A 25,426-nucleotide genomic window follows, 5' to 3' on the forward strand; every position below is an offset into this window, starting at 1 on the left:
CTCCTGCAGTTAAATATATATGAGTTTTGCATCCCTTGAATACTGTATTTTTACCTGCATTTTGTTGGAAATCCATGTATAAGAAGACCCATGAAGTTCAGACCGATATTATTCAAGGGTCAACTGTATATATTAGGAAGAAATCAAACACTTCTACGTAAACAACAACAAAAAAATCTATTTATACATACACACAGAGAGCATACTATGTAACAAGCACTGTTCTACATATTTTAATTCATTGTGCTCACAGAGCCCTATGTGTTGGATACTGTTATGTTACAGTTAACGAAAACTGAACCACAGAAGATTATGTAAATTGTCAAATCTCTCAATGTATAAAAGAATACATCAGAAGTAAATGGGTGTTATCCCAGGACTGGAACATTAGTTTATCCTTACAAAATCTGTCATTAGCGATTAAAGGAGACAAAATTATAAAAATTTAAATTGATTCTTTGAAGGCATCTCATAAAATTTAATATATTTTGTAGTTTGGGGGAAAAAATCTTAAAACTAAGCAAACTAAGATAAGTAACTCTTTAATGGATAAAGGGTTTTAGTTCCATATCCCAGAAATAACCAGTTAAAAATGACCAGTTGCTGTGTTAATTTATTAATTTAATATAATTTATCCCCCAAAATACGTTGTGGAACTTAGTAAGCTAGTTTTAAAGTTCCCATGGCATAATAAGGACACAGAATAGCAATGAGTTATGAAAAGAAACAAAGGTATGGTGGGGTACAGGAGAGATGGACTATATAAAACCATAGTAATAATTAAAGCAAGTATATTATTCACGTCAAAACAGAAAAATTATGCATAGCAATGGGTAGCATATGATAAAGATAGCATGTTAAATGTGTCAGGAAAAGGCTAGTCAGTAAAATGTTGGTTCTCCATGGTGGGGCAAAATAAATGCATATTAAACTAATGTCTGCATGAAAATAAAGACTTTAAAAGCATAAAAGTAATGGAAGAAATGTATAAGGAAATTATTTATAGATTTGAGTAAATTTTAAAAGTAACCCAAAAAAGTGACAAAATTCTGCATCACAATCAAAGGGCAAACTGGGTTGCATCATATGACCAATATTTTGTTTTATAAATAGGGTTCTTCAAAATCAATAGTAAGAACATAAATATTGTCCAGTTCAAAAGACAGACATTTTACCCAGGAAACAAACATAAATATTCCTGCTTCACTAGTGTTAAAATGCAGTAGCCAGATGTGATCATTTTAAATGTATGTGTATCAAACAACACAGCCACAAAATACATTAAATAAAAATTTCCAGACTTGAAAGGAGAAATAGATAAGTCAACAATTACAGTTGGAGATTTCAACACTTCTCATTCAGTAATTGATAGAACGATTGCAGACACTCAAGGATACAGAAGACTTAATAGTCAACACATTTGATTTAATCATTATTAGGGCACACTCCACAAAACAACAAAAATATATATACACTGTTTCATCCAGGTGTACACAGAACTTTTCCAGACCACATCTTTGGCAGATAAAATAAGACTTGATAAATTCAAATGATTACAATAATATAAATATGTTGTTTGATTAAAAATTGAATTAAATTAGAAAACAGATCTGGGAACACCAAAATATTTGGAAATTAAATGACACACTCTTAAGATGCATAGGTCAAAGAAAAAACCACAGGGAAATTCAAAATTATCTTTAAATGAATGAAAAGAACATGTGAAAATATATGGGATGGACTGGGCACAGTGGCTCATGCCAGTAATCTGAGCACTCTGGGAGGACAAGTTGGGAAGATTGCGTGGGGCCAGGAGTTCAAGATCAGACTGGGCAGCACAGCGAGACCCCACTTCTACAGAATTAGCCGGGCATGGGGATGGCATACACCTATAGTTCTAGCTGCCTGAGAGGCTGAAGCAAGAGGATTGCTTGAACCCAGAAGTTTGAGGTTACAGTGAGCTACGATCCACACCACTGCACTCCAGCCCAAGTGACAAACTGAGACCTTGTCTCAAAAAAGAAAGAAAACATATGGGATGTTTTCTAAGCACCCTAAAGCAGTGCTTAGAGGGACAGTTATCACTTAGAAAGGTCTAATATCAACAATATAAGCTTCCACCTTCAGCTAGAAAAAAAAGAGCAAACAAGACCAAAAATAGAAAAAAGGATATAATAAAATCAGAATAGAAATCAATGAAATAGAAAACAGGAAAAAATATAAAATTATAATTAATTAAACCAAAACCTGGTTCCTTAGAAAGATTTTTTTAAAAGATAAAGGTTCAGCTAAACCAACAAAAAAAGAGAAAAGGTATAAATTAACAGTATCAGGAATGGAAGAGGAAACATCACAGTAGGTACTACAGAAGTTAAAAGAATTATACGGGAATATTATGAACAACTTTATCCAAATTTCACACCTTGGATGAAATGGGGAAAAAATGCTAGAAAAACTCAAATTACAAAAACTGACTCAAGAAGAAATTGAAAAATCAGAATAGGCCTATATCAAATAAAGATACTGAATTTGTTATTAAAAGTCTTCCCCATAAGAAAAGTCCAAGTCCAGGCCAGGCATGGTGGCTCACACCTGTAATCCCAACAGTTTGGGAGGCCAAGGTGGGCAGTTCACCAGAGGTCGGGAGTTCGAGACCAGCCTGACCAACATGGAGAAACCTTGTCTGTACTAAAAATACAAAATTAGCTGGGCATGGTAGCGCATGCCTGTAGTCTCAACTACTTGGGAGGCTGAGGCAGGAGAATTGCTTGAACTCAAGAGGCAGAGGTTGTGGTGAGCTGAGATCGTGCCATTGCACTCCAGCCTGGGCAACAAGAGTGAAACTCCATCTCAAAAAATAAAAAATTTAAAAAAGGAGAAGTCCAAGTCCAGATGACTTCACTGATTAATTCTGTCCAATATTTAAGGGAAAAAAATACCAATCTTTCACAAGTACTTCCAGAAAATAATAGTAGGAGGGAATACTTCCAAAATCACTCTGTAAAGCCAGTATCACCCTAATATCAAAGCCAGACAAAGACATCTTGTCTTGTGTATTGAATATCACAAAGAATTAAAACTACAAATCAATATTCCAGCCACCCGTGGTGGCTCACGCCTGTAATCCTGGCACTTTGGGAGGCCAAGGTGGGAGGATCGCTTGAGCCCAGGAGTTTGAGACCAGCCTGGGTAACATAGTGAGACCCCATCCCTATTAAAAAAAGAAAGAAAACAAAGCAATGTCCCCTATGAACATCAATATAAAACTTCTTATAAAATATTAACATATCAAATCCAATGACATAAAAAAGATTATATACCATAACTAAGTGCAGTTTATTCCAGAAATGAAAGGTTGGCTTATTCAAAAATCAATGTAATACAACCATATTAATAGAAAAAATGACAAAAAGCACATTATCATTGACAAAACCCAACATCCATTGACAATAATTCTCACCCAAGTAAGGATAGAGGGGAAGTTGCTAAGCCTGATAAAGGACATCTGTAGTTAACATCACAGTTATGGTTAAAAGAAAAAAAAGGAGGGGCGTTCCAAGATGGCCGAATAGGAACAGCTCTGGTCTGCAGCTCCCAGCATGATCGATGCAGAAGATGGGTGATTTCCGCATTTCCAACTGAGGTACTTGGTTCATCTCATTGGGACTGGTTGGACAGTGGGTGCAGCCCACAGAGGGCAAGCACCTCACCCAGGAAGCACAAGGGGTTGGGGGATTTCCCTTTCCTAACCAAGGGAAGCCGTGACAGACTACCTGGAAAAACGGGACACTCACACCTAAATACTGCGCTTTGCTCAAGGTCTTAGCAACTGGCAGACAAGGAGATTCTCTCCCGTGCCTGGCTCGGCAGGTCCCATGCCCATGGAGCCTTGCTCACTGCTAGCGCAGCAGTCTGAGATTGAACTGTGAGGTGGTAGCTGGGCTGGGGGAGGGTTATCCGCCATTCCTGAGGCTTGAGTAGGTAGACAAAGCAGCCAGGAAGCTCGAACTGGGCAGAGCCCACCACAGCTCAACAATGCCTACTGCAACTCAACAATGCCTACTGCCTCTAGACTCCACCTCTATGGGCAGGGCATACCTGAACAAAAGACAGCAGACAACTTCTGCAGACTTAAACGTCCCTGTCTGACAGCTCTGAAGAGAGCAGTAGTTCTCCCAGCACAGCATTTGAGCTCTAAGAATGGACAGACTGCCTCCTCAAGTGAGTCCCTGACCCCTGTGTAGCCTAACGGGGAGACACCTCCTAGTAGGGGCCGACAGATACCTCATATAAGCGGCTGCCCCTCTAGAACGAAGCTTCCAGAGGAAGGATCAGGCAGCAATATTTGCCAATCTGTAATATTTGCTGTTCTGCAGCCTCCGCTGGTGATACCCCGGCAAACAGAGTCTGGAGTGGACCTCCAGCAAATTCCAACAGACCTGCAGCTGAGGGACCTGACTGTTAGAAGGAAAACTAACAAACAGAAAGGAATAGCATCAACATCAACAAAAAGGTCATCTACACCAAAACCCCATCTGTAGGTCACCAACATCAAAGACCAAAGGTAGATAAAACCACAAAGATGGGGAGAAACCAGATCAGAAAAGCTGAAAATTCTACAAATCAGAGCACCTCTTCTCCTCCAAAGGATCACAGCTTCTCGCCAGCAACGGAACAAAGCTGGACAGAGAATGACTTTGACGAGTTGACAGAAGTAGGCTTCAGAAGTTTGGTAATAACAAACTTCACCAAGCTAAAGGAGGATGTTCGAACCCATTGCAAGGAAGCTAAAAACCATGGAAAAAGATCAGACGAATGGCTAACTAGAATAAACAGTGTAGAGAAGACCTTAAATGACCTGATGGAGCTGAAAACCATGGCACAAGAACTTCCTGACATACAAGCTTCAACAGCTGATTCGATCAGGTGGAAGAAAGGGTATCAGTGATTGAAGATCAAACTAATGAAATGAAGTGAGAAGACAAGGTTAGAGAAAAAAGAGTAAAAAGAAACAAACAAAGCCTCCAAGAAATATGGGACTATGCGAAAAAACCAAATCGACATCTGATTGGTGTACCTGAAACTGATGGGGAGAATGGAACCAAGTTGGAAAACACTCTTCAGGATATTATCCAGGAGAATTTCCCCAACCAAGCAAGGCAGGCCAACATTCAAATTCAGGAAATACAGAGAACACCACAAAGATACTCCTCAAGAAGAGCAAGCCCAAGACACATAATTGTCAGATTCACCAAGGTTGAAATGAAGGAGAAAGTGCTAAGGGCAGCCAGAGAGAAAGGTCGGGTTACCCACAAAGGGAAGCCCATCAGACTAAAAGCAGATCTCTTGGCAGAAACACTACAAGCCAGAAGAGAGTGGGGGCCAATATTCAACATTCTTAAAGAAAAGAATTTTCAACCCAGAATTTCATATCCAGCCAAACTAAGCTTCATAAGTGAAGGAGAAAGAAAATCCTTTACAGCCAAGCAAATGCTGAGAGATTTTGTCACCACCAGGCCTGCCTTATAAGAGCTCCTGAAGGAAGCACTAAACATGGAAAGAAGCAACCGGAACGACCCACTGCAAAAACATGCCAAATTTTAAAGACCATCGATGCTATGAAGAAACTGTATCAATTAACAGGCAAAATAACCAGTGAACATCATAATGACAGGATCAAATTCACACATAACAGTATTAACCTTAAATATAAATGGGCTAAATGCCCCAATTAAAAGACACAGACTGGCAAATTGGATAAAGAGTCAAGACCCACTGGTGTGCTGTATTCAGGAGACCCATCTCATGTGCAAAGACACACATAGGCTCAAAATAAAGGGATGAAGGAAGATCTACCAAGCAAATGGAAAGCAAAAAAAAAAAAAAGGAGGGGTTGCATCATAGTCTCTGATAAAACAGACTTTAAACCAACAAAGATCAAAAGAGACAAAGAAGGCCATTACATAATGGTAAAGGGATCAATTCAACAAGAAGAGCTAACTATCCTAAATATATATGCACCCAATACAGGAGCACCCAGATTCATAAAGCAAGTTCTCAGAGACCTACAAAGAGACTTAGACTCCCACACAATAATAGTGGGACACTTTAACACCCCACTGTCAATATTAGACAGATCAATGAGACAGAAAGTTAACAAGAATATCCAGGACTTGAACTCAGCTCTGCAACAAGCGACCTAATAGACATCTACAGAACTCTCCACCCCAAATCAACAGAATATACATTCTTCTCAGCACCACATCACACTTATTCCAAAATTGACCACATAGTTGGAAGTAAAGCACTCCTCAGCAAATGTAAAAGAACAGAAATTATAACAAACTGTCTCTCAGACCACAGTGCAATCAAACTAGAACTCAGGATTAAGAAACTCACTCAAAACCGCTCAACTACATGGAAACTAAACAACCTGCTCCTGAATGACTACTGGGTACATAACGAAATGAAGGCAGAAATAAAGATGTTGTTTGAAACCAATGAGAACAAAGGCACAACCTACCAGAATCTCTGGGACACATTTAAAGCAGTGTATGGAGGGAAATTTATAGCGCTAAATGCCCACAAGAGAAAGCAGGAAAGATCTAAAATCGACACCCTAACATCACAATTAAAAGAACTAGAGAAGCAAGAGCAAACAAATTGAAAAGCTAGCAGAAGCCAAGAAATAACTAAGATTAGAGCAGAACTGAAAGAGATAGAGACAAAAAAAAAAACCTTCAAAAAATCAATGAATCCAGGAGGTGGTTTTTTGAAAAAATCAACAAAATTGATACACCTCTACCAAGACTAATAAGAAAGGAGAGAAGAATCAAATAGATGCAATAAAAAATGATAAAGGGGATATCACCACCGATCCCACAGAAATACAAACTACCATCAGAGAATACTATAAACACCTCTATGCAAATAAACTAGAATATCTAGAAGAAATGGATAAATTCCTGGACAGATACATCCTCCCAAGACTAAACCAGGAAGAAGTTGAGTCTCTGAATAGACCAATAACAGGCTCTGAAATTGAGGCAATAATTAATAGCCCACCAACCAAAAAAAGTCCAGGACCAGACAGATTCACAGCCAAATTCTACCAGAGGTACAAAGAGGAGCTGGTACCATTCCTTCTGAAACTACTCCAATCAATAGAAAAAGAGGGAATCCTTTCTAACTCATTTTATGAGGCCAGCATCATCCTGATGCCAAAGCCTACCAGAGACACAACAAAAAATGAGAATTTCCGGCCAGTATCCCTGATGAACATCGATGCAAAAATCCTCAAAATACTGGCAGGCCGAACCCAGCAGTACATCAAAAAGCTTATCCACTATGATCAAGTCAGCTTCATCCCTGGGATGCAAGCCTGGTTCAACATACGCAAATCAATAAATGTAATCCATCACATAAACAGAACCAATGACAAAAACCACACGATTATCTCAATAGATGCAGAAAAGGCCTTCAACAAAATTCAACAGCCCTTCATGCTAAACACTCTCAATAAACTAGGTATTGATGGAACATAATCTCAAAATAATAAGAGCTCTTTATGACAGACCCACAACCAGTATCATACTGAATGGGCAAAAACTGGAAGCATTCCCTTTGAAAACCGGCACGAGACAAGGATGCCCTCTCTAACCACTCCTATTCAACATAGTATTGGAAGTTCTGTCCAGGGCAGTCAGGCAAGAGAAAGAAATAAAGGGTATTCAGATAGGAAAAGAGGAAGTCAAATTGTCCCTGTTTGCAGATGCCATGATTGTATATTGAGAAAACCCCATCGTCTCAGCCAAAAATCTCCTTAAGCTGATAAGCAACTTCAGCAAAGTCTCAGGATACAAAATCAATTGTGCAAAAATCACAGGCATTCCTATCTACCAATAACAAACAGCCAAATAATGAGTGAACTCCCATTCACCATTGCTATAAAGAGAATAAAATACCTAGGAATCCCACTTACAAGGGATGTGAAGGACCTCTTCAAGGAGAACTACAAATCACTGCTCAATGAAATAAAAGAGAACACAAACAAATGGAAGAATATTCCATGCTCATGGATAGGAAGAATCAATATCATGAAAATGGCCATACTGCCCAAAGTAATTTATAGATGCAGTGCCATCCCCTTCAAGCTACCAATGACTTTCTTCACAAAATTGGAAAAAACTACTTTAAAATTCATATGGAACCAAAAAAGAGCCTGCATTGCCAAGACAATCCTAAGCAAAAAGAACAAAGCAGGAGGCATCATGCTACCTGACTTCAAACTATACTACAAGGCTTCAGTAACAAAAACAGCATGATACTGGTACCAAAACAGATGTATAGACCAATGAAACAACAGAGTCCTCAGAAATAACACCACACATCTACAACCATCTGATCTTTGACAAACCTGACAAAAACAAGAAATGGGGAAAGGATTCCCTATTTAATAAATGGTGCTGGGAAAATTGGCTAGCCATATGCAGAAAGCTGAAACTGGATCCCTTCCTTACACCTTATACAAAAGTTAATTCAAGATGGATTAAAGACTTAATTAAGTTAGACCTAAAACCATAAAAACCCTAGAAGAAAACCTAGGCAATACCATTCAGGACATAGGCATGGGCAAGGACTTCATGATTAAAACACCAAAAGCAATGGCAACAAAAGCCAAAATTGACAAATGGGATCTAATTAAACTAAAGAGCTTCTGCACAGCAAAAGAAACTACCATCACCATCAGAGTGAACAGGCAACCTACAGAATGGGAGAAAATTTTTGCAATCTACCCACCTGACAAAGGGCTAATATCCAAAATCTACAAAGAACTCAAACAAATTTACAAGAAAAAAACAACCCCATCAAAAAGTAGGCAAAGGATATGAACAGACACTTCTCAAAAGAAGACACCTATGCAGCCAACAGACACATGAAAAAATGCTCATCATCACTGGTCATCAGAGAAATGCAAATCAAAACCACAATGAGATATCATCTCATGCCAGTTAGAATGGCAATCATTAAAACGTCAGGAAACAACAGATGCTGGAGAGGATGTGGAGAAATAGGAATGCTTTTACACTGTTGGTGGGAGTGTAAATTAGTTGAACCATTGTGGAAGACGGTGTGGCGATTCCTCAACGATCTAGAACTAGAATTACCATTTGACCCAACAATCCCATTACTGGGTATATACCCAAAGGATTATACATCATGCTGCTTAGACACATACACACATATAAACATATTGTGGCACTATTTGCAATAGCAAAGACTTGGAACCAACCCAAATGTCCATCAGTGATAGACTGGATTAAGAAAATGTGGTACATATACACCATGGAATACTATGCAGCCATAAAAAAGGATGAGTTCATGTCCTTTGCAGGGACATGGATGAAGCCGAAAACCATCATTCTCAGCAAACTGCCACAAGGACAGAAAACCAAACACCGCATGTTCTCACTCATAGGTGGGAATTGAACAATGAGAACATATGGACACAGGGCGGGGAACATCACACACCAGGGCCTGTCAGGGGGTGGGGGGGGCTGGGGGAGGGATAGCATTGGGAGAGATACCTAATGTAAATGATGAGTTGATGGCTGCAGCAAACCACCATGGCACATGTATACCTATGTATCAAATCTGCACGTTGTGCACATGTACCCTAGAACTTTAAGTATAATAAAAAAAAAACGAATGCCTTTTTCCTGAGATCAAGAACCAGGCAAGGATGTTTCTATTCCTCACTGTTTCTACTCAACAATTGTAACTGGGGGGTCCTAGCCAGGGCAGTAAGGCAAGAAAAAAACTTTTTAAAGGCATTCAGATTGGAAAGGAAGATGTAAAACTGTATATTCACAGATGATGTGACCTACAAATTGAAAACTAAGGAATCTACATAAAAGATACCAGTGCTATTAAGTGAATTAGCACAATCTCAGAATACAAGCTCAATACACAAAAATCAGTAGTACAGTATTTCTATATACTAGCAATGAGCCCCTCCAGTGATGAAATTGAAATAAAAAGAATAATTCTATTCACAGTCATATCAAAAAGAATATGAAAAATAGGAATAAATATAATAAAATAATAATACTTGTACAATGAAACTAAAAAAACAATGCTGAGAGAAATTAAAGAAGACCTAAATAACTGGAAAGATTAGAAGGCTCAGCGTTGTTAAAATGTCAATTATCCCCAAATCGATGTACGGATTTAACATAATCCCTATCAAAATCCCGGCAGACTTTTGGTGTAGAAATTAGTAAACTAATCCTAAAACTTGTATAGAAAATGAAAAATATCTAGAATAGCCAAAACACTTTTTTAAAAGAACAAAGTTGAAGGACTAGATTACCTGATTTCAAAATGTACTGTAAACCAATCATCAAGACATTGTAGCACTGGTATATATATACACAGAGATCAGTGTAACACTCCAACTAATTTTCAACCAAAAGAGAAAAGATAGTCTTTTCAAAAATGATGCTAAAATAATTGGATATCCATGTGCCAAAAAGAACCCCAATCCATATCTTGTGCTAAATATAAAAATAATTAAAAAGGAATCATAGAACTAACTGTAAGGGCTAAAACTACAAAGCTTCTGGAATAAAACAAAGGAAAATCTTTGTGACCTTGGGTTGGGCAAGAGTAATTTTTAAAAATTGATACATTGGACTTCCTTCAAAATTAAAAACGATTGCTCTTCAGAAGACACCATTAAGAAAATGAAAAAACAGACCAGGAGAAAATATTTCCAAAACATTCTGATAAAGAACTCATATCCAGAATATGTAAAGAACTCTAAATAACAAAAAGACTAATATCTCAATTTTTTAAATAGAACATGTGAATACACACTAAAAAGGAGGTACAAACAGTAAATAAGTGTATGAAAAGATGTTCTGTATTATTAGACATTAGGAAATTGCAAATTAAAACCTCAGTGAGATATACTACACAGCCACTTGAACAACTAAAATCACCAGTTGGCAGTAATGTGGAGAAACCAAAACTCTCATACATTGGGCTGGTAAGGATGTAAAACTATACAGCTTCTTTAGAAAAGTTTGGCAGTTTCTTAAAAAGTTAAACATACATTTGGCTTATGAATCAATAATCTCACTCCTAGAAATCTACCTAAGAGAAAAGCTCACCCAGTGTTCATAACAGCATTATTCCTAGTAGCTCAAAACTGGAAATAATCCACATGTCCATCAAACTGGTGAACTGATAAAGCAAAATACATCTTTTCATGAGAGACTTTCAAGCAAGGACAAAAATAAATATGTATATATATATATTTTTAAATATATGTATTTTTTATAACATTCCACCATATGATGGTGAGCTGAGATTGTGCCATTGCACTCCAGCCTGGGGAACAAGAGTGAAACTCCATCTCAAAAAAAAAAAAAAAAAAGAAATTTACTAAAATGCACTGAACACTTAAAATTGGTAAAATCTATGGTATGTAAATTAACCTAAATAAAGCTGTTTTTAAAAAAGCAAGAGCCAAAAAACTTCAGCTTATTAAATTGGCAGCAATTTTTAAAACATAAGTTTTAAGGATAATATTCAATAAATGTTTGCATTACTACTGTATATTAAGCATTATTGGATACTGGCAAATGCAAGACAGGATGGGAAGACAGACAGATGCAGTTAAAATATAGTGTCTTCACTGCTGTCTCATAGAAGAAACAAATTGCAGAAACACCTCACTCTAGGCTTACTGCAGGAAGACACGCACTTTCAAACATTGCTGGTAAAAGCATATTGCCCCAGTGTCCCTGGAAAGTAATTTGACAATATGTAGCAACAACTTGAATTTATGCCCTTTGACTCCCTGATAGTAATTCTGAGTATCTATTGTAAATAATCAGAAATTTGGATAGAATTGTGTAATCTAAACAATTGGCACTGGTCACAGGTAATTCTAAAATAAATTCAAAGCAACACAAATGTTCAATATAGAATGGTTAAATAAGTCATGGTATCTGTGTCATAACATGCAGCTATTGAAATGTACTTGAAAATTTTTAATTTCATAGAAAAATCCAGATTACAAAATTGTGATATAATCTCAGTACTTAAAATGTGTGTATGTATATACACAAGCTAAAAGATAACACCCCAAAATATTAACAGTCATTAACTCTGGGCTGTGGAATTGCAAGTAATTTGGTTTTTTATACTGTTCTATAATTTATAAAGGTTCATGTAATGAGCGTGTACTGTATTACTTTAACAAATGGGAAAAAATTATTTTTCTCCTTTATCTGTTTATATAGGTAATACATGTTCATTGCAGAAGAGTTAGAATATAAACAAAAATCTACACCTAAAATTCACCACCCAAAGACAGGCTGTTTTATCACTTTGGAGTATACCCTTCTATACATTTCTGTGCAACTAGATCATGTATTTTACAAAAAATATTACTATTGTTTTATAACCTGCTTTAAAGGAAGAAGAAATAGATAGCAGATCTAAACAAATAGACATGTTCATCTGAAAAGAGAAACTAGTGGCATCTAAAGAGAATAAATAATTGGCTCAAGCGAAAGTTTTTTTCAAGTTGTGGTAGCACTGAGAGAACGTGCCAGTGGAAGGAAGAAAGAGGAGGCAGGGGGTTGCAGACAGAAGCACAGGTGAGGAGGGGTCACAAGAGGAGACGCAGAGACCAGCTGGAGTGAAATTCAACCGTTGTATATGAGAGGCTCTTGCTGCTTGCTGGATACCCCACTTCTGTTGTGGGAGATAAGATAAGGCCTACACAGAACACATGTGGGTTATGAGGTCCCAAGGGGCAAGGAGGCTTACAACAGCCACAGTCTATAGAGCAAGCACTAGAATGTGAACAAAGGAAAGGAAAGGAAAAAGCCCGTTTACAGGAATAACAACTGACCAACTCGTGCAAAAGCAAGGCCAGACCTAAATTCCCAAGGCTAAATCAACTAGGGTTTCATCTCAAGAAAGAATCACAGATATGTCAGGGAGAGTCTAATTGTCAAACAGAAATTGCCAGACTCAGGTATCAGAAAGGGAGGAATGTTAGTACCACAGAAAGACCAGAGGCTTAGGAGCCAGACAGATCTGGTCCACTCACCAGCTGGGCAGGTTACTTGACTCCTGAGGCTCAGTTTCAGAAGGCATCAGCATCCACTTCCTGAGGTGGTTGTGAGAATCTAAGATATTATATGTAAACACCTGGCACATGGCTCATGATAAATAGTAGCTATTACTACTCCATATAGGAGAAATACAATGTAACATCATGGGCCCACTGCAGTGGCTCACGCCTGTAATCTCAACACTTTGGGAGGCCGAGGCAGGCAGATGAGGCCAGGAGTTCGAGACCTGCCTGGCCAACATGGCAAAACCCCATCTCTACTAAAAGTTAGCTGGGCGTGGTGATGTGTGCCTATAATCCCAGCTACTTGGGAGGCTGGGGCGGGAGGATCATTTGAATGAACCTAGGAAGGAGGTGGAGGTTGCAGTGAGCTGTGATCATGCCATTGCACTCCAGCCTGGGCAACAGAGCAAGACTCCGTCTCAAAAAAAAAAAAAAAAAAAAAAAAAAAATTATATATATATATATATATAAAAAACATCATGGTTAAGAGCATGAAATTTGAAGTTAGACGAACCTAACTTCAAATCCTTGCTTTATCACACAAGCTGTGTAATCTCAGGCATCCAAGCCTCAGCATCCTCTATAAAAATAAGGGTACGACTTGGCACACTGAGCTGTTTTAAGGATTAAATAAGACAGTGTATATAATATAAGGCCCTTAGGCATAGTGTCTGTGTAATCAATAAACAATGGCTATTTATTGCTACCACTTTTGTGATCACATTACCTAACCTCTCTGAAGTAGAGTTTATTCAGCTGTAACATTAGCATTCTATCCCTTATCTTGTTCCCTTCACTCCTAGGGCACATTTTACTGCTTGACACAGTAAATATCTGTTGCATGAACAGCAGGATTGTACTGAGAATTAAGAGATAATGTATATAATGAATCTAACAGTGTCTGGTATATTAATGCTAAAAAAAAATGGAGCTATTTGTTTTACCATTAGATTGTGAGCTCCTCAGGGGCCAAGAACGTTTTCTTAGTCTTGTAGTCCCAGCACCTGGCAAACTGTTACGTAGGAGGTCCTCAGCAAATGTTTACTGAAAGGCACAGACCACAGCAATACAGCAGCCACCCTCACTACAAGGATATCTACAGTAGTCCAGATGATTTGGCCCTCCAAAAACAACTTAAAATCCTCCACCTACTTTACCATCTAACAACAATCACAGGTAGCCATTGTGCTAAGCATCTGTACCTCCTGATTTCAAGACTGGTACTTATGTAATGTCTTCAGTAAGTAACCTCGTAATCACTGCAGGTCTCAGTGAGGTGAAGCAAGACCAAAGCTTCCGTAAGTATGAGGCTGTAAACATTGCAAATTAACATGTCTAGCACACAAAGTGATCACAGCATACAACAGCATTTATATAAACTCAACCCTCGTAAGAGAAGCCAGAAAGACAGGGTACCAGTTACTTAATCCAAGTCAACTAAATGTGTTACCTATATGAAGATAACAGGTTATGATACCATATTTATAATTAACATTCTTATGGTTTATGCAATGGAGTACATTAAAAACACCACAGAAATTATGTAAAGAAGGCTAAAGGGTCTTCCATGTTACTATCCTAAGAAACTGAGACCCTCAATAATCAGAAACAAGCTTTTCTGCCAATTTGACTAATACTTGAAAAAATGGAAAATATAAAGAGATTAAAATCACTCTTGGTTCAATGATCCAGGGATAACCATTATTTTATACTTGGTATATTTCTTTTTAACACTTGTTACTAATGTGTTCAAAAACAGGAATTTTAGTGCTTCAGTGTTCTCAAGCAGTAACTCACATCCATTTCCCTATTATTGGACATTTGGGCAGATTAGAACTGTTTTCTATTGAATGTTTTTAAAGGCAGCTTTTTCCTTTATATTAAAAATATATGAATTACTCTGTCAGAGATTTTTTTTTTTTTTTTTTTTTTTTTGAGATGGAGGCTCGCTCTGTCGCCTAGGCTGGAGTGCAGTAGCGCGATCTCCGCTCACTGCAAGCTCCGCCTCCCAGGTTCAGGCCATTCTCCTGGCTCAGCCTACCGAGTAGCTGGGACTACAGGCGCCTGCAAGCACACCCGGCTAATTTTTTGTATTTTTAGTAGAGACGGGGTTTCACCGTGTTAGCCAGGACGATCTCGATCTCCTGACCTCGTGATCCGCCCACCTGGGCCTCCCAAAGTGCTGGGATTACAGGCGTGAGCCACCGCGCCCGGCCTCTGTCAGAGATCTACATTTACATCCATCAGCACTGGAAACTAAGGCACTATAGGTAAAGAAAGCCAGCCAGAAACCCATTAGAGCAATCGTCCAGGAATGTAACTAGTGAGAAGTATGAAGCCCAACTCTCCTCAGTGAGGTGGGAGAATGTAGGAGAGGAACAGGGAAACAGGGAGAATGGAGGCTTGTGTGTATATATTAGGGTATAGGGAAAGAAAAAGAAGGAATGACATGAATTAATATTCTAAAACATGAGTTATAATATTACAGATATATGAGTTTAGAATTATTTTTTAATGCTTAATAAACAGAGCCTCTACGTGGGCCTGAAGTTAATGTTTTATTTTTTTCCACATTGAACGAACCATATCAAAGCCCAATTTTAATTTATTTCAACAGATATTTACTGGTACCTACTCTATGCCAGGCACTGTGCTTGGTAATAAACATGAATTCAGACCGCGTCCTTCCAGTTCATAATTAGAATATATTTAGCCCACATTTTTATGCTGTCTACATCCACAATGAGTAAGAATTAACAGTTGATAGCTCATGATTCTGAAGAACTGCAAGAGTTCCTTTAACCATCAAAACTGAAGTGAAATCTACTTCCTGGGACAGGAAAGCAAGTGGTACATATTAGGAAACTTCAACAAGAGTTGAAACTAAAGATTTTCTGGTCACTGGATGGGTTAAGGAAATTCAGTGAACCAAATATCCAACTTCCAAAATTTCAGCTAATCCATTTTATATAAGTGGCTTAGGATATCTATTTTTAACTTAAAAGTATAAAGATAAATCACACACTTGTATTTCTGAAGCATTATAGACTCCAAACTAGAGAAATATTGAATTTTTTTTTTTTTTTTTTTTTTTTTTTTTTTTTTTGAGACAGTTTCGCTCTTGTCATCCAGGCTGGAGTGCAGTGGCACAATCTCAGCTCACAGCAACCTCCACCTCCCAGGTTCAAGCGATTCTCCTGCCTCAGCCTCCCGAGTAGCTGGGATTACAGGCATGCACCACCACGCCCAGCTAATTTTGTATTTTTAGTAGAGACAGGGTTTCTCCATGTTGGTCAGGCTGGTCTCGAACTCCCAACCTCAGGTGATCTGCCCACATTGGCCTCCCCCAAAGTGCTGGGATTACAGGCATGAGTCACCATGCCAGGCCAAAATATTGAACATTTTATTCTATGCCTATAGGTACCATGTGTCTTAGATATGCCCAGATAATCCCTGAATCAAATATTCTATTCCTTTGTCCCTGTAAATAGTCAGAATCCTGGAAACTGGAATCAAAACATAACTCCCAGACAACACCCTGAAACTGCATACAATCCTTTGTCAAACAATTTATGTCCCAGTCATTATCTCTGCTCATTCCAACTTTTATATTTCCATCCCAGGAATCTGCAGAGCCCGCCTTAATGCTTTTGCCCAGAAACTGCTCATCTGAAAGGGAAGACTTACTTAGGGAAGTAAGTTTCTAAAGGCAGTGGTGTTGCTGGCCAAATTACATGAACCACCATATCCCCTCATGCTAACAAAACTATGTTAGAGAATTTGTTCTCAGGCTAGGTGCGGTGGTTCACACCTGTACTCCCAGCCCTTTGGGAGGCCGAGGGGGGGGATCATGAGGTCAGGAGATCGAGGCCATCCTAGCCAACATGGTGAAACCCCATCTCTACTAAAAATACAAAAGTTAGCTGGGCATGGTGTTATGTGCCTGTAATCCCAACTACTCACGTGGCTGAGGCAGGAGAATCGCTTGAACCTCGGAGGCAGAGGTTGCAGTGAGCCGAGATCACGCCACTGCCCTCCAGCCTGGTGACAGAGCGAGACTCCATCTCAAAAAAAAAAAAAAAAAAGAGTTTGTTCTCAGCTGGGCATGGTGGCTCAAGCCTGTAATCCCAACATTTTTGGAGGCCGAGGCAGGCGGATCACCTGAGGTTGGGAGTTCAAGACTAGCCTGGCCAACATGGTGAAAACCCTATCTCTACTAAAAATAAAAAAAATTAGCTAGGTGTGGTGGTGCATGCCTGTAATCCCAGCTACTCAGGAGGCTGAGGCAGGAGAATCGCTTGAACCCAGGAGGTGGAGGTTGCAGTGAGCTGAGATAGTGCCACTGCACTCCAGTCTGAGCAACAGAGCGAGACTCTGTCTCAAAAAAAAAAAAAAAAAAGAATATGTTCTCAATTTGATACCTATGATTTCTAGTAAATTGTTTGTGAACCCTGTGAGTTCTGCTTTAATCCTCTGACCCCTCTGTTCATTCAAAAATGGCCAGTTAACAGAAAACACCTAATAAAATAATCTTCATTTGAGCCCCGGGGAATACCACTGAACCCAGAAGTGGCCATGCAGAAGGAGTCAGTTAACATACTTTGTTCTCCACGTTCTCAAGAATTCCTGGAGAGCAGGATAAAGATTAAGGTTCTAACAGATCTGACTCAAGATGAATTGTGAGGCCAAGCTCAGTAGCTGACACCTATAATTCCCAGCACTTTGGGAGGCCAAGGCAGGAGGATTCCTTGAGCCTAGGAGTTTGAGGCTAAGATCATGCCACTGTACTCCAGCCTGGGTGACAGAGTGAGACTCTTTAAAAAAAAAAAAAAAAAAAAAACCCGGGCTCAGTGGCTCACGCCTGTAATAATGTCAGCACTTTGGGAGACCGAGGCGGGCGGATCACCTGAGGTCGGGAGTTTGAGACCAGCCTGACCAACATGGAGAAACCCTGTCTCTACTAAAAATACAAAATTAGCCAGGTGTGGTGGCACATGCCTGTAATCGCAGCTACTTGGGAGGCTGAGGCAGGAGAATCGCTTGAACCCCGGAGGCAGAGTTTGCAGTGAGCCGAGATCGCGCCACTGCACTCCAGCCTGGGCAACAAGAACAAAACTCAGTCTCAAAAAAAAAAAAAAAGCCGGTTGTGGTGGCACACGCCTATAATCCCAGCTACTCAGGAGGCTGAGGCAGGATAATTGCTTGAACCTGGGAGGCGGAGGGTGCAGTGAGCCGAGATCACGCCGTTGCCCTCCTGGGCGACAGAGCGAGACTCTGTCTCAAAAATAAATGAATGAATGAATGATCATGAATGAATTCTGCACTCTTACCATTTTACTGACTCCAATCCTGTCCCGGCAACTCTACACATTGTTTCACAAGAGCATTAGGACATCACTTTCCATTCAGCAATTCATTTTGAGCACCTAGTGCCAATCACTGTACTATAGCCCAAGGAAATTAGTGAGTTACAAAACGGACACTTTACAATCAAGTGAGGAACAGATTTAATTATGTAAATATGAAGGAGACAAATAAATAAGATGAACCAGTAATGGACAAGGAGTTGCAACTTATGGTGCTGAGGGAAGAATTTTCTGAGTAGTTGATAACACCTAAAAGGTTGAAAAGAAAAAACAGCAAAAATGTCCTAGGCAGGGAGTAAAATATGTGACTGTGTGCAGTGATTTTGAGGCAGGAAACAGCATGTTGGGGAGATTTTTAAAGCCTAGTATGGCCAGAATATAGTGAGCAACAGAGGGAGATGTGGTTACAAAGTCTAGCAGGGGCCAGATCATGCAGGGCCTAGGGAAGCCACTGAAAATTGTTAAGCAAGGGAGTGATATAATCCCTACCCCTTAGGTTTTCTGAAGATTATTCTGCCAGATTAGTGGAAGTGCAAGAACAGAAGTAGGGAGACAAATAAGGAAGCCATTACATACATCTGAATCAGAGATGTGGTTAATTAATTCAGGAGTGAATAATCAGAAAACCTGTACATGACATCTCAGATTAAAAGATGAACACAAGCTAGCCAAAGAGGGAAGGGCATTTCAGGCAATTGAAAAACATGTACAGTGGCATTAGGTCCCAAGACCATAACCTATTCCAACACTATAAACAGCCTGGTATGGCAGTAGCAAAGGATATGTGGCAAGAGTGTAATCCAAACAAGAAAGTATGGTACCCTGAACTTAAGCCAGTGGTGGTAGGGAGGAAGAGGCAGGGTTGTATCCATATGGTCAACTGTAGTGAGGTGAGGAAAGAGGAACTTGGGATAACCGAGTTTCTGGCTTTGAGTGGGCAGATGACAGTGCCATTGACTAAAATAGGGAGAACCAGGGCAGTGGGAAAGATGAGTTCAAGTTTATACATGCTGCTGTTCTGAAAGAGCCATCTATATAGTAGGCAGCTGGATATATGGAGTTCTCCAGCTTAGAAAGAGGCTGAGGCTGGACATAGTTTGGAAACCACAGGTGAGTAGGCAGTGAGTAAAGCCATGGGAAAGACTAAGCTTACCAGGGAAGTACAAAACGAGAAGAGCTTATTAGTCCAGAACCTGGGACGCACTGGCATTGAAGGAGCAAGAGTTCTAAGATGGGTAATTTTATTGTGAGACATACGGCACATTGTAGGATGTTTAGCACCATCCCTGCACTCTACCCACTAGATGCCAGTAGGACCCACTCAGTGGTGACAGTCAAGACACAGACATGTCTCCAGACATGCCCAAATGTCCCCTGGCGGCGGGGGACAAAATCACCCTAGTTGAGAACCACCAAAATTAAGAGGAGTCTCCAGGATGCTGACAAAGGAGGGTTATTGAATGAACTTCCTTTTGCAAATGTTTTATTCAAAAATGACATACACAAAAATGTATAATCCCTCCCCCAATATAGGATTAGGTGTCACTCACCAACATGCCCAAAATCACATTAAGTGATCAAACCCAGATTGGAACCTGACTTTTATAGTCTGACTCCAAAGCCTGTGCTCTAAGCCTAAATCACTTAACCCCTAACTCCATAAGGTCTCCATTAGGCTTCAAGTGCTGTGAGGAGAGGGCTGATTCAGTCTTTTTCATCATTATAATCCTAGCATTTGGCTCTGACACTTAGCAACAGGAGTTCAAATATTTACTGAATGAGTCACACTTCACACTTAACTCTGAAAATATGCGTTATTCATAGACCTACACTGAGGTATTTAACACTGATAGCTTACAGACAACACGTTAGGGCACCAAGGGGAAGATGCTCCCATCCTGACAAGAAATCAGCAGCATTGGTTTTGAGAATTTTGTTCCCCAGAACAGAGGCTCTGCCATCAACCATTTCACTTGCATTAGCGGAAAGTTCCTCTCCTATTGCCTCCTTATCCAGCACATCCCATGCCGCATTGAGGCCTCAAGGAGATGGGGGAAGAGGAGTGGAAACAAGAATGGAATGGAATATTTTTATTAAATGAACAAATTATAACTTTTGACAGTATCATAAACTGGTAGTCATAGGGAACAATTTTCTATCAAGTAAGCTTTTTAAAAGGTTTAAACCTCTAACCTCTATTCAAAAATGTTGGCCTAGGCTGGGTGCAGTGGCTCACACCTTTAATCCCAGCACTTTGGGAGGCTGATGGGGGTGGATCACCTGAGGTCAGGAGTTGAAGACCAGCCTGGCCAACATGGCGAAACCCTGTTGCTACTAAGAAAACACAAAAACCAGCCAGGAGTGGTGATATACGTCCGTAATCCCTGCTTCTTGGGAGGCTGAGGCAGGAGAATTGCTTGAACCCAGAAAGCAGAGGTTGCAGTGAACCAAGATCATGCCACTGCACTCCAGCCTGGGCAACAGAGCAAGACTCCATCTCAAAAACAAAAAGATGTTGACTGGGCGCAGTGGCTCATGCCTGTAATCCCAGCATTTTGGGAGGCCGAGACAGGTGGATCACTTGAGGTTAGGAGTTCAAGACCAGTCTGGCAAACATGGTGAAACCCTGTCTCTACTGAAAATACAAAAATTACCCGGGCATGGTGGCACATGCCTGTAAATCCCAGCTACTCGGGAGGCTGAGGCAGGAGAATCACTTGAACTTGGGAGGCAGAGGTTGCAATGAGCCAAGATGGCCCCACTGTACTCCAGCCTGGGCGACACAGCGAGACTCCATCTCAAAAGAAAAAACACACACAATGTTTTAGGAACTTGAATAGGTGCCACTTACTGTATATACCTACCTCAGCATATTTTCCCTCACTAATTGGCCCCAATTGGTACCTTTTTGATGAAGGGACTGTATGTCCACAAATTCCTGCTTAAATATTGTGGGAGATCCCTGCAAGGGCTAAGCCAGTGATGTCAAATACTATAATAGACATTGCTGATGTACATTTTTCTGATGTACATATCTACATATGAGGCTCAGAGATATAGCCTCAGAATATTTATCAATATTTCAGGCAGCCACATCATTTCCAAGAGAAAATATTTCATCTCTGCCTAAAGCCAACCTTAGGGGTAGCCTGGAGGATACAGAATTCAGGGGATACCAGCAACACCTAAAAGGTTTAGCAGAAGGACATCTTCCCAGGATGAGTATCCAGGTCCAGGTATGCTATAGAGACCTAAAAAGTAGAATGATGGGAAATCCATAAATGCACTTTAGTCAGTTCAACCTACATACTTGAACATCTTTTTGTGTTGCTTGGAAGCCACGGAGGGAAGCTATAAAGCAATCTGAGAGTTGAGAAAGTTTGCCACTCTGGCCGACCAGTGGCTCAAGCCTGTAATCCCAGCACTTTGAGAGGCCAAAGTGGGCAGATCACCTGAGGTCAGGAGTTCCAGACCAGCCTGGCCAACATGGTGAAACCCCATCTCTACTAAAAATACAAAACTTAGCCAGGTGTGGTGGCGCATGCATGTAGTCCCAGCTACTGAGGAGGCTGAGGCAGGAGAATCGCCTGAACCTGGGAGGCAGAGGTTGCAGTGAGCCAAGATCGTGCCACTTCACTCCAGACTGGGTGACAGAGCAAGGCTCCGTCTCAAAAAAAAAAAAGGTTTGCCACTCTGAGTGGAAACCACTTTTAATAAGGTCAAGTAATGCTCATACTTCATGGACCTCAAATTTTTCTTTACCTAGCACCATCTGTAATTCTCTCACTCCCACCAACCACCCTAGGGAAAGCTTGATACGGAACATTTTCAACAAATTCTGACATGGACTTAAGCTTTAAGGAACAGGGAGAAGAATGTGTTTTCTGCTCTAGAGTGTTGCCTCCTTCACGGCAGTTGAGTTGCTCACGGCCTCCATTTAGCAATTCAAGGTACCTTTGTGGGCTGGTCTTGAGGCTCGGATTTGCCATATTGATTTCTACCCAAACTTTAATCAATCAATCAGTTAATTCACTTTTGCTTTGTTATTTCAGCTTTGAAGATTATGAAACAGATGAACCTGCCTCTCCCTCTGAATTTGGAAACAAAAGCAATAAAATATTAAGTGCAAGCCTTCCAGAGAAATGTGGAAAGCTTCAATCAGTGGATGAAGAATAGCTGCCGGTGTCTACAATGAAACGAAGATGTGTATTTTAAATGTTTCTTTCTTGTGAAGAGATGTTCTCGTTTGCATACTGCTTTTTAAAGACTTTGATTTCTCCAAGTGTGTATCATCTGCACTAGGAACTTTGTTTTTAAGCAATAGGTCTGGATACACATTTAACTTAGGAGGCTCCTCCAATTTGCCTCAAACCTCTTACGGAGCTTCTCCTCAGAAGTGGTACCATCGCCTTCCAAAGTCAGCACTCTACACTCTTGAATGTACCAAGGATCTCTTGGCGACAGTACCAAGCACGGTTCTCTACACAGGTGACTGAAGTTGCCTCTGTGTTGGCTGGCATCCCTGAGTCCCCTCCGGGCTCCTATGGAGCCTAGAAGAAACCTTCACTTGCAGAAAACTTGAGTCAGAAAATTCTGGAACTTGAAAAAGTAGTAAGGGCCTCCAGAATTGACTTAGCCCTAGTAATAAAAGCACTGCCAAAACATCTCAGAGACTTCTTTTATGTATACTGGAGTTCAAAGATCTTTAACTTACCTGGCTTAATGTAATTTCACAGTTACCTGCCAAACTACTAGTCACTTTACATCCTCAGGTATTGTAACCACTGGGCCTTCCAACTTTGCTGGCAAGCTCTGGTAACCTCCCTGACTGTGGATCTTATATAAAATCTCAAGATAAAAAAACACTTCTTAAATGAAGTATAGAATTTGACTCATACTTGGAAAAAGCCCTTTTAACTTTTATCTTTTATTCATTGAACTATTGAATGATGTATTTAATATCCAAATTAGTTGATAACTGTTTTCACTTCCTATCAGAAGGCCTGCTTGAAGACATAAAGGAATAATGATACATTAAAATTCTTACTAGATAGATATATTCCTTCCTCCCAGGAGTATTAGACTAGCTAATAGTAAAGGCCTCAACGTTATTCTTTACTTCATGTTGAAAACAATTACTACAGATATTTCATCCACCTCAGTATTTATCAAGGAAATGGAAAATGATACAGCTATAAAAGAAAGCTGTTATTTACTGTAGTTGTAGATGTATTCACTACAGAATCCTACATTTTTCAGCAGGCCACAGTCCAGCCAAATCCTATAATATCCTTGAAAAGAAACTATTAAAAAGGATAGACATTTCTGATGTAAGTAAAACCCCCAAGCAACTTAATATCCATCTGTCAGTCATCAACTTTTCCCCTAGATTTTTTTTTTAACTAGTTCTGAAAGTGTCAAGAATAGCTTCCCTTTCCACCCTACCTAGGTTCCCTCCTTGCTGGCATAAAGGCCAAGCAGTGAAATGAACCTTGGGTTAGAGTTATGGTAGGCAAAAAGAAAAGGAGAATTTAGGAAATAAATATGCTATAAACAAGGTACAGTACAGTGAGAGTTAACAATCCTAGGAATCCTGCCTGTCACAAGCTCCCAGTTCCCTGTCATTTTATCTTCATGATTAGAACTGATCTTCCATTTAACTATTACAGAAAGCAGTAACTATTGCAACTATCTAATAGTTCACACAAAAGAATTAAAAGCTTAAAAATAATTTTTAGGAAACACAATATTCAAAATCTAAACACACTGATAAATTATTAAGATTAAGATTATTTATGTGATAAATGAAATCTCCTACCAATCCATCCAGCCTTTACCAGGGAAGAAAAGCAATTATTTCATTTCAGATAGAAATACAAAAAAAAAAAAAATACTTTTCTTAGAAGCCAGATATGGTTTAAATGTTTTATTATCCATAATGATCTAAACTAATAAGATTCACCAAAAAGTAAAAATTCAATTTTACAATATACATTTTTTTTTTTAACTATTTGGCTTTACCTTTTTACCTTGGTTCTCCTTACTGAAGTCCTCTTGCTTTCACTTTGATCTGGTTTTTGAAGTCTCTTAATTATTGGCTGGGCATGGTGACTCATGCCTGTAATCCCGGCACTTTGGGAGGCCAAGGGAGGTGATCACTTGAGCCCAGGAGTAAAGACCAGCCTGGGCAACATAGTGAGACTCCGTCTCTACAAAAAATAAATTTAGCTGGGCATGGTGGTGCACATCTGTAGTCCTACCAACTTGGGAGGCTGAGGCAGGAGAATCGCTTGAGCCCCAGGCTTCGAGGCTGCAGTGAGCTATGATTACGACACTGCACTCCAGCCTAGGCGACAGAGCAAGACCCCATTCTCTTACAAAGTCTCTATTATAAAAGTACATCCATCAATACCATTCCATTTAAAATGGGCTATTGTAATTTACCCACATTATCACATTTTCAGGAATTATAAGAATGTGTTTTATTGTACTCCTTCCTTGGAGCTGAATGCAAGGAATGTGAATTCTGAGGAATTAAGGTAGAATATATTTGACTTTCTGGTAAAGATCATGGTTAAGTATAATCATTACTGCCAAACTGGAATTTTCAAGTTATTATAATATCCCAGGCCCCTTGATAAAAGCTGAGGGTTATCATGACCTTAATGCTAATTCAATGAGAAATGAGTTTAATAGCATAACATTACCAAGGTAATCAAACTAATAAAATTCCATATATCTTCCCTGCATCTTGTCACTGTGTACCATTCAAAGTGTTTATAAAACTCTAGATTCATCAAATGAGATTTGCTCAGCTTTTTGAAATGTTAAGATGTGTTTGGAGAAGGCTGCATGACTTTGTTTTTCCCTTTTAGCAAAACTAAATAAAGTTGTCAAATATGAA

General features: G+C 39.6%; 1 protein-coding gene across 8 annotated transcripts in view; it reads left to right on the forward strand.

The window, feature by feature from the left end:
• PPP2R3A (protein phosphatase 2 regulatory subunit B''alpha) overlaps positions 1-25,426 on the forward strand; it is a 182,167-nt gene extending 156,741 nt beyond the window's left edge. For all 8 annotated transcript variants that reach the window (NM_002718.5, XM_017006787.3, NM_001190447.2 and 5 more), the window contains one exon: positions 22,575-25,426. In NM_002718.5, coding sequence (NP_002709.2) covers positions 22,575-22,698 — 124 coding nt within the window. In that variant the 3' untranslated portion in view covers positions 22,699-25,426. The remainder of the gene's footprint in view (positions 1-22,574) is intronic.

The sequence above is a fragment of the Homo sapiens genome, chromosome 3 (assembly GCF_000001405.40).
Source record: "Homo sapiens chromosome 3, GRCh38.p14 Primary Assembly".
NCBI classification, from domain to species: Eukaryota; Metazoa; Chordata; class Mammalia; order Primates; family Hominidae; genus Homo; species Homo sapiens.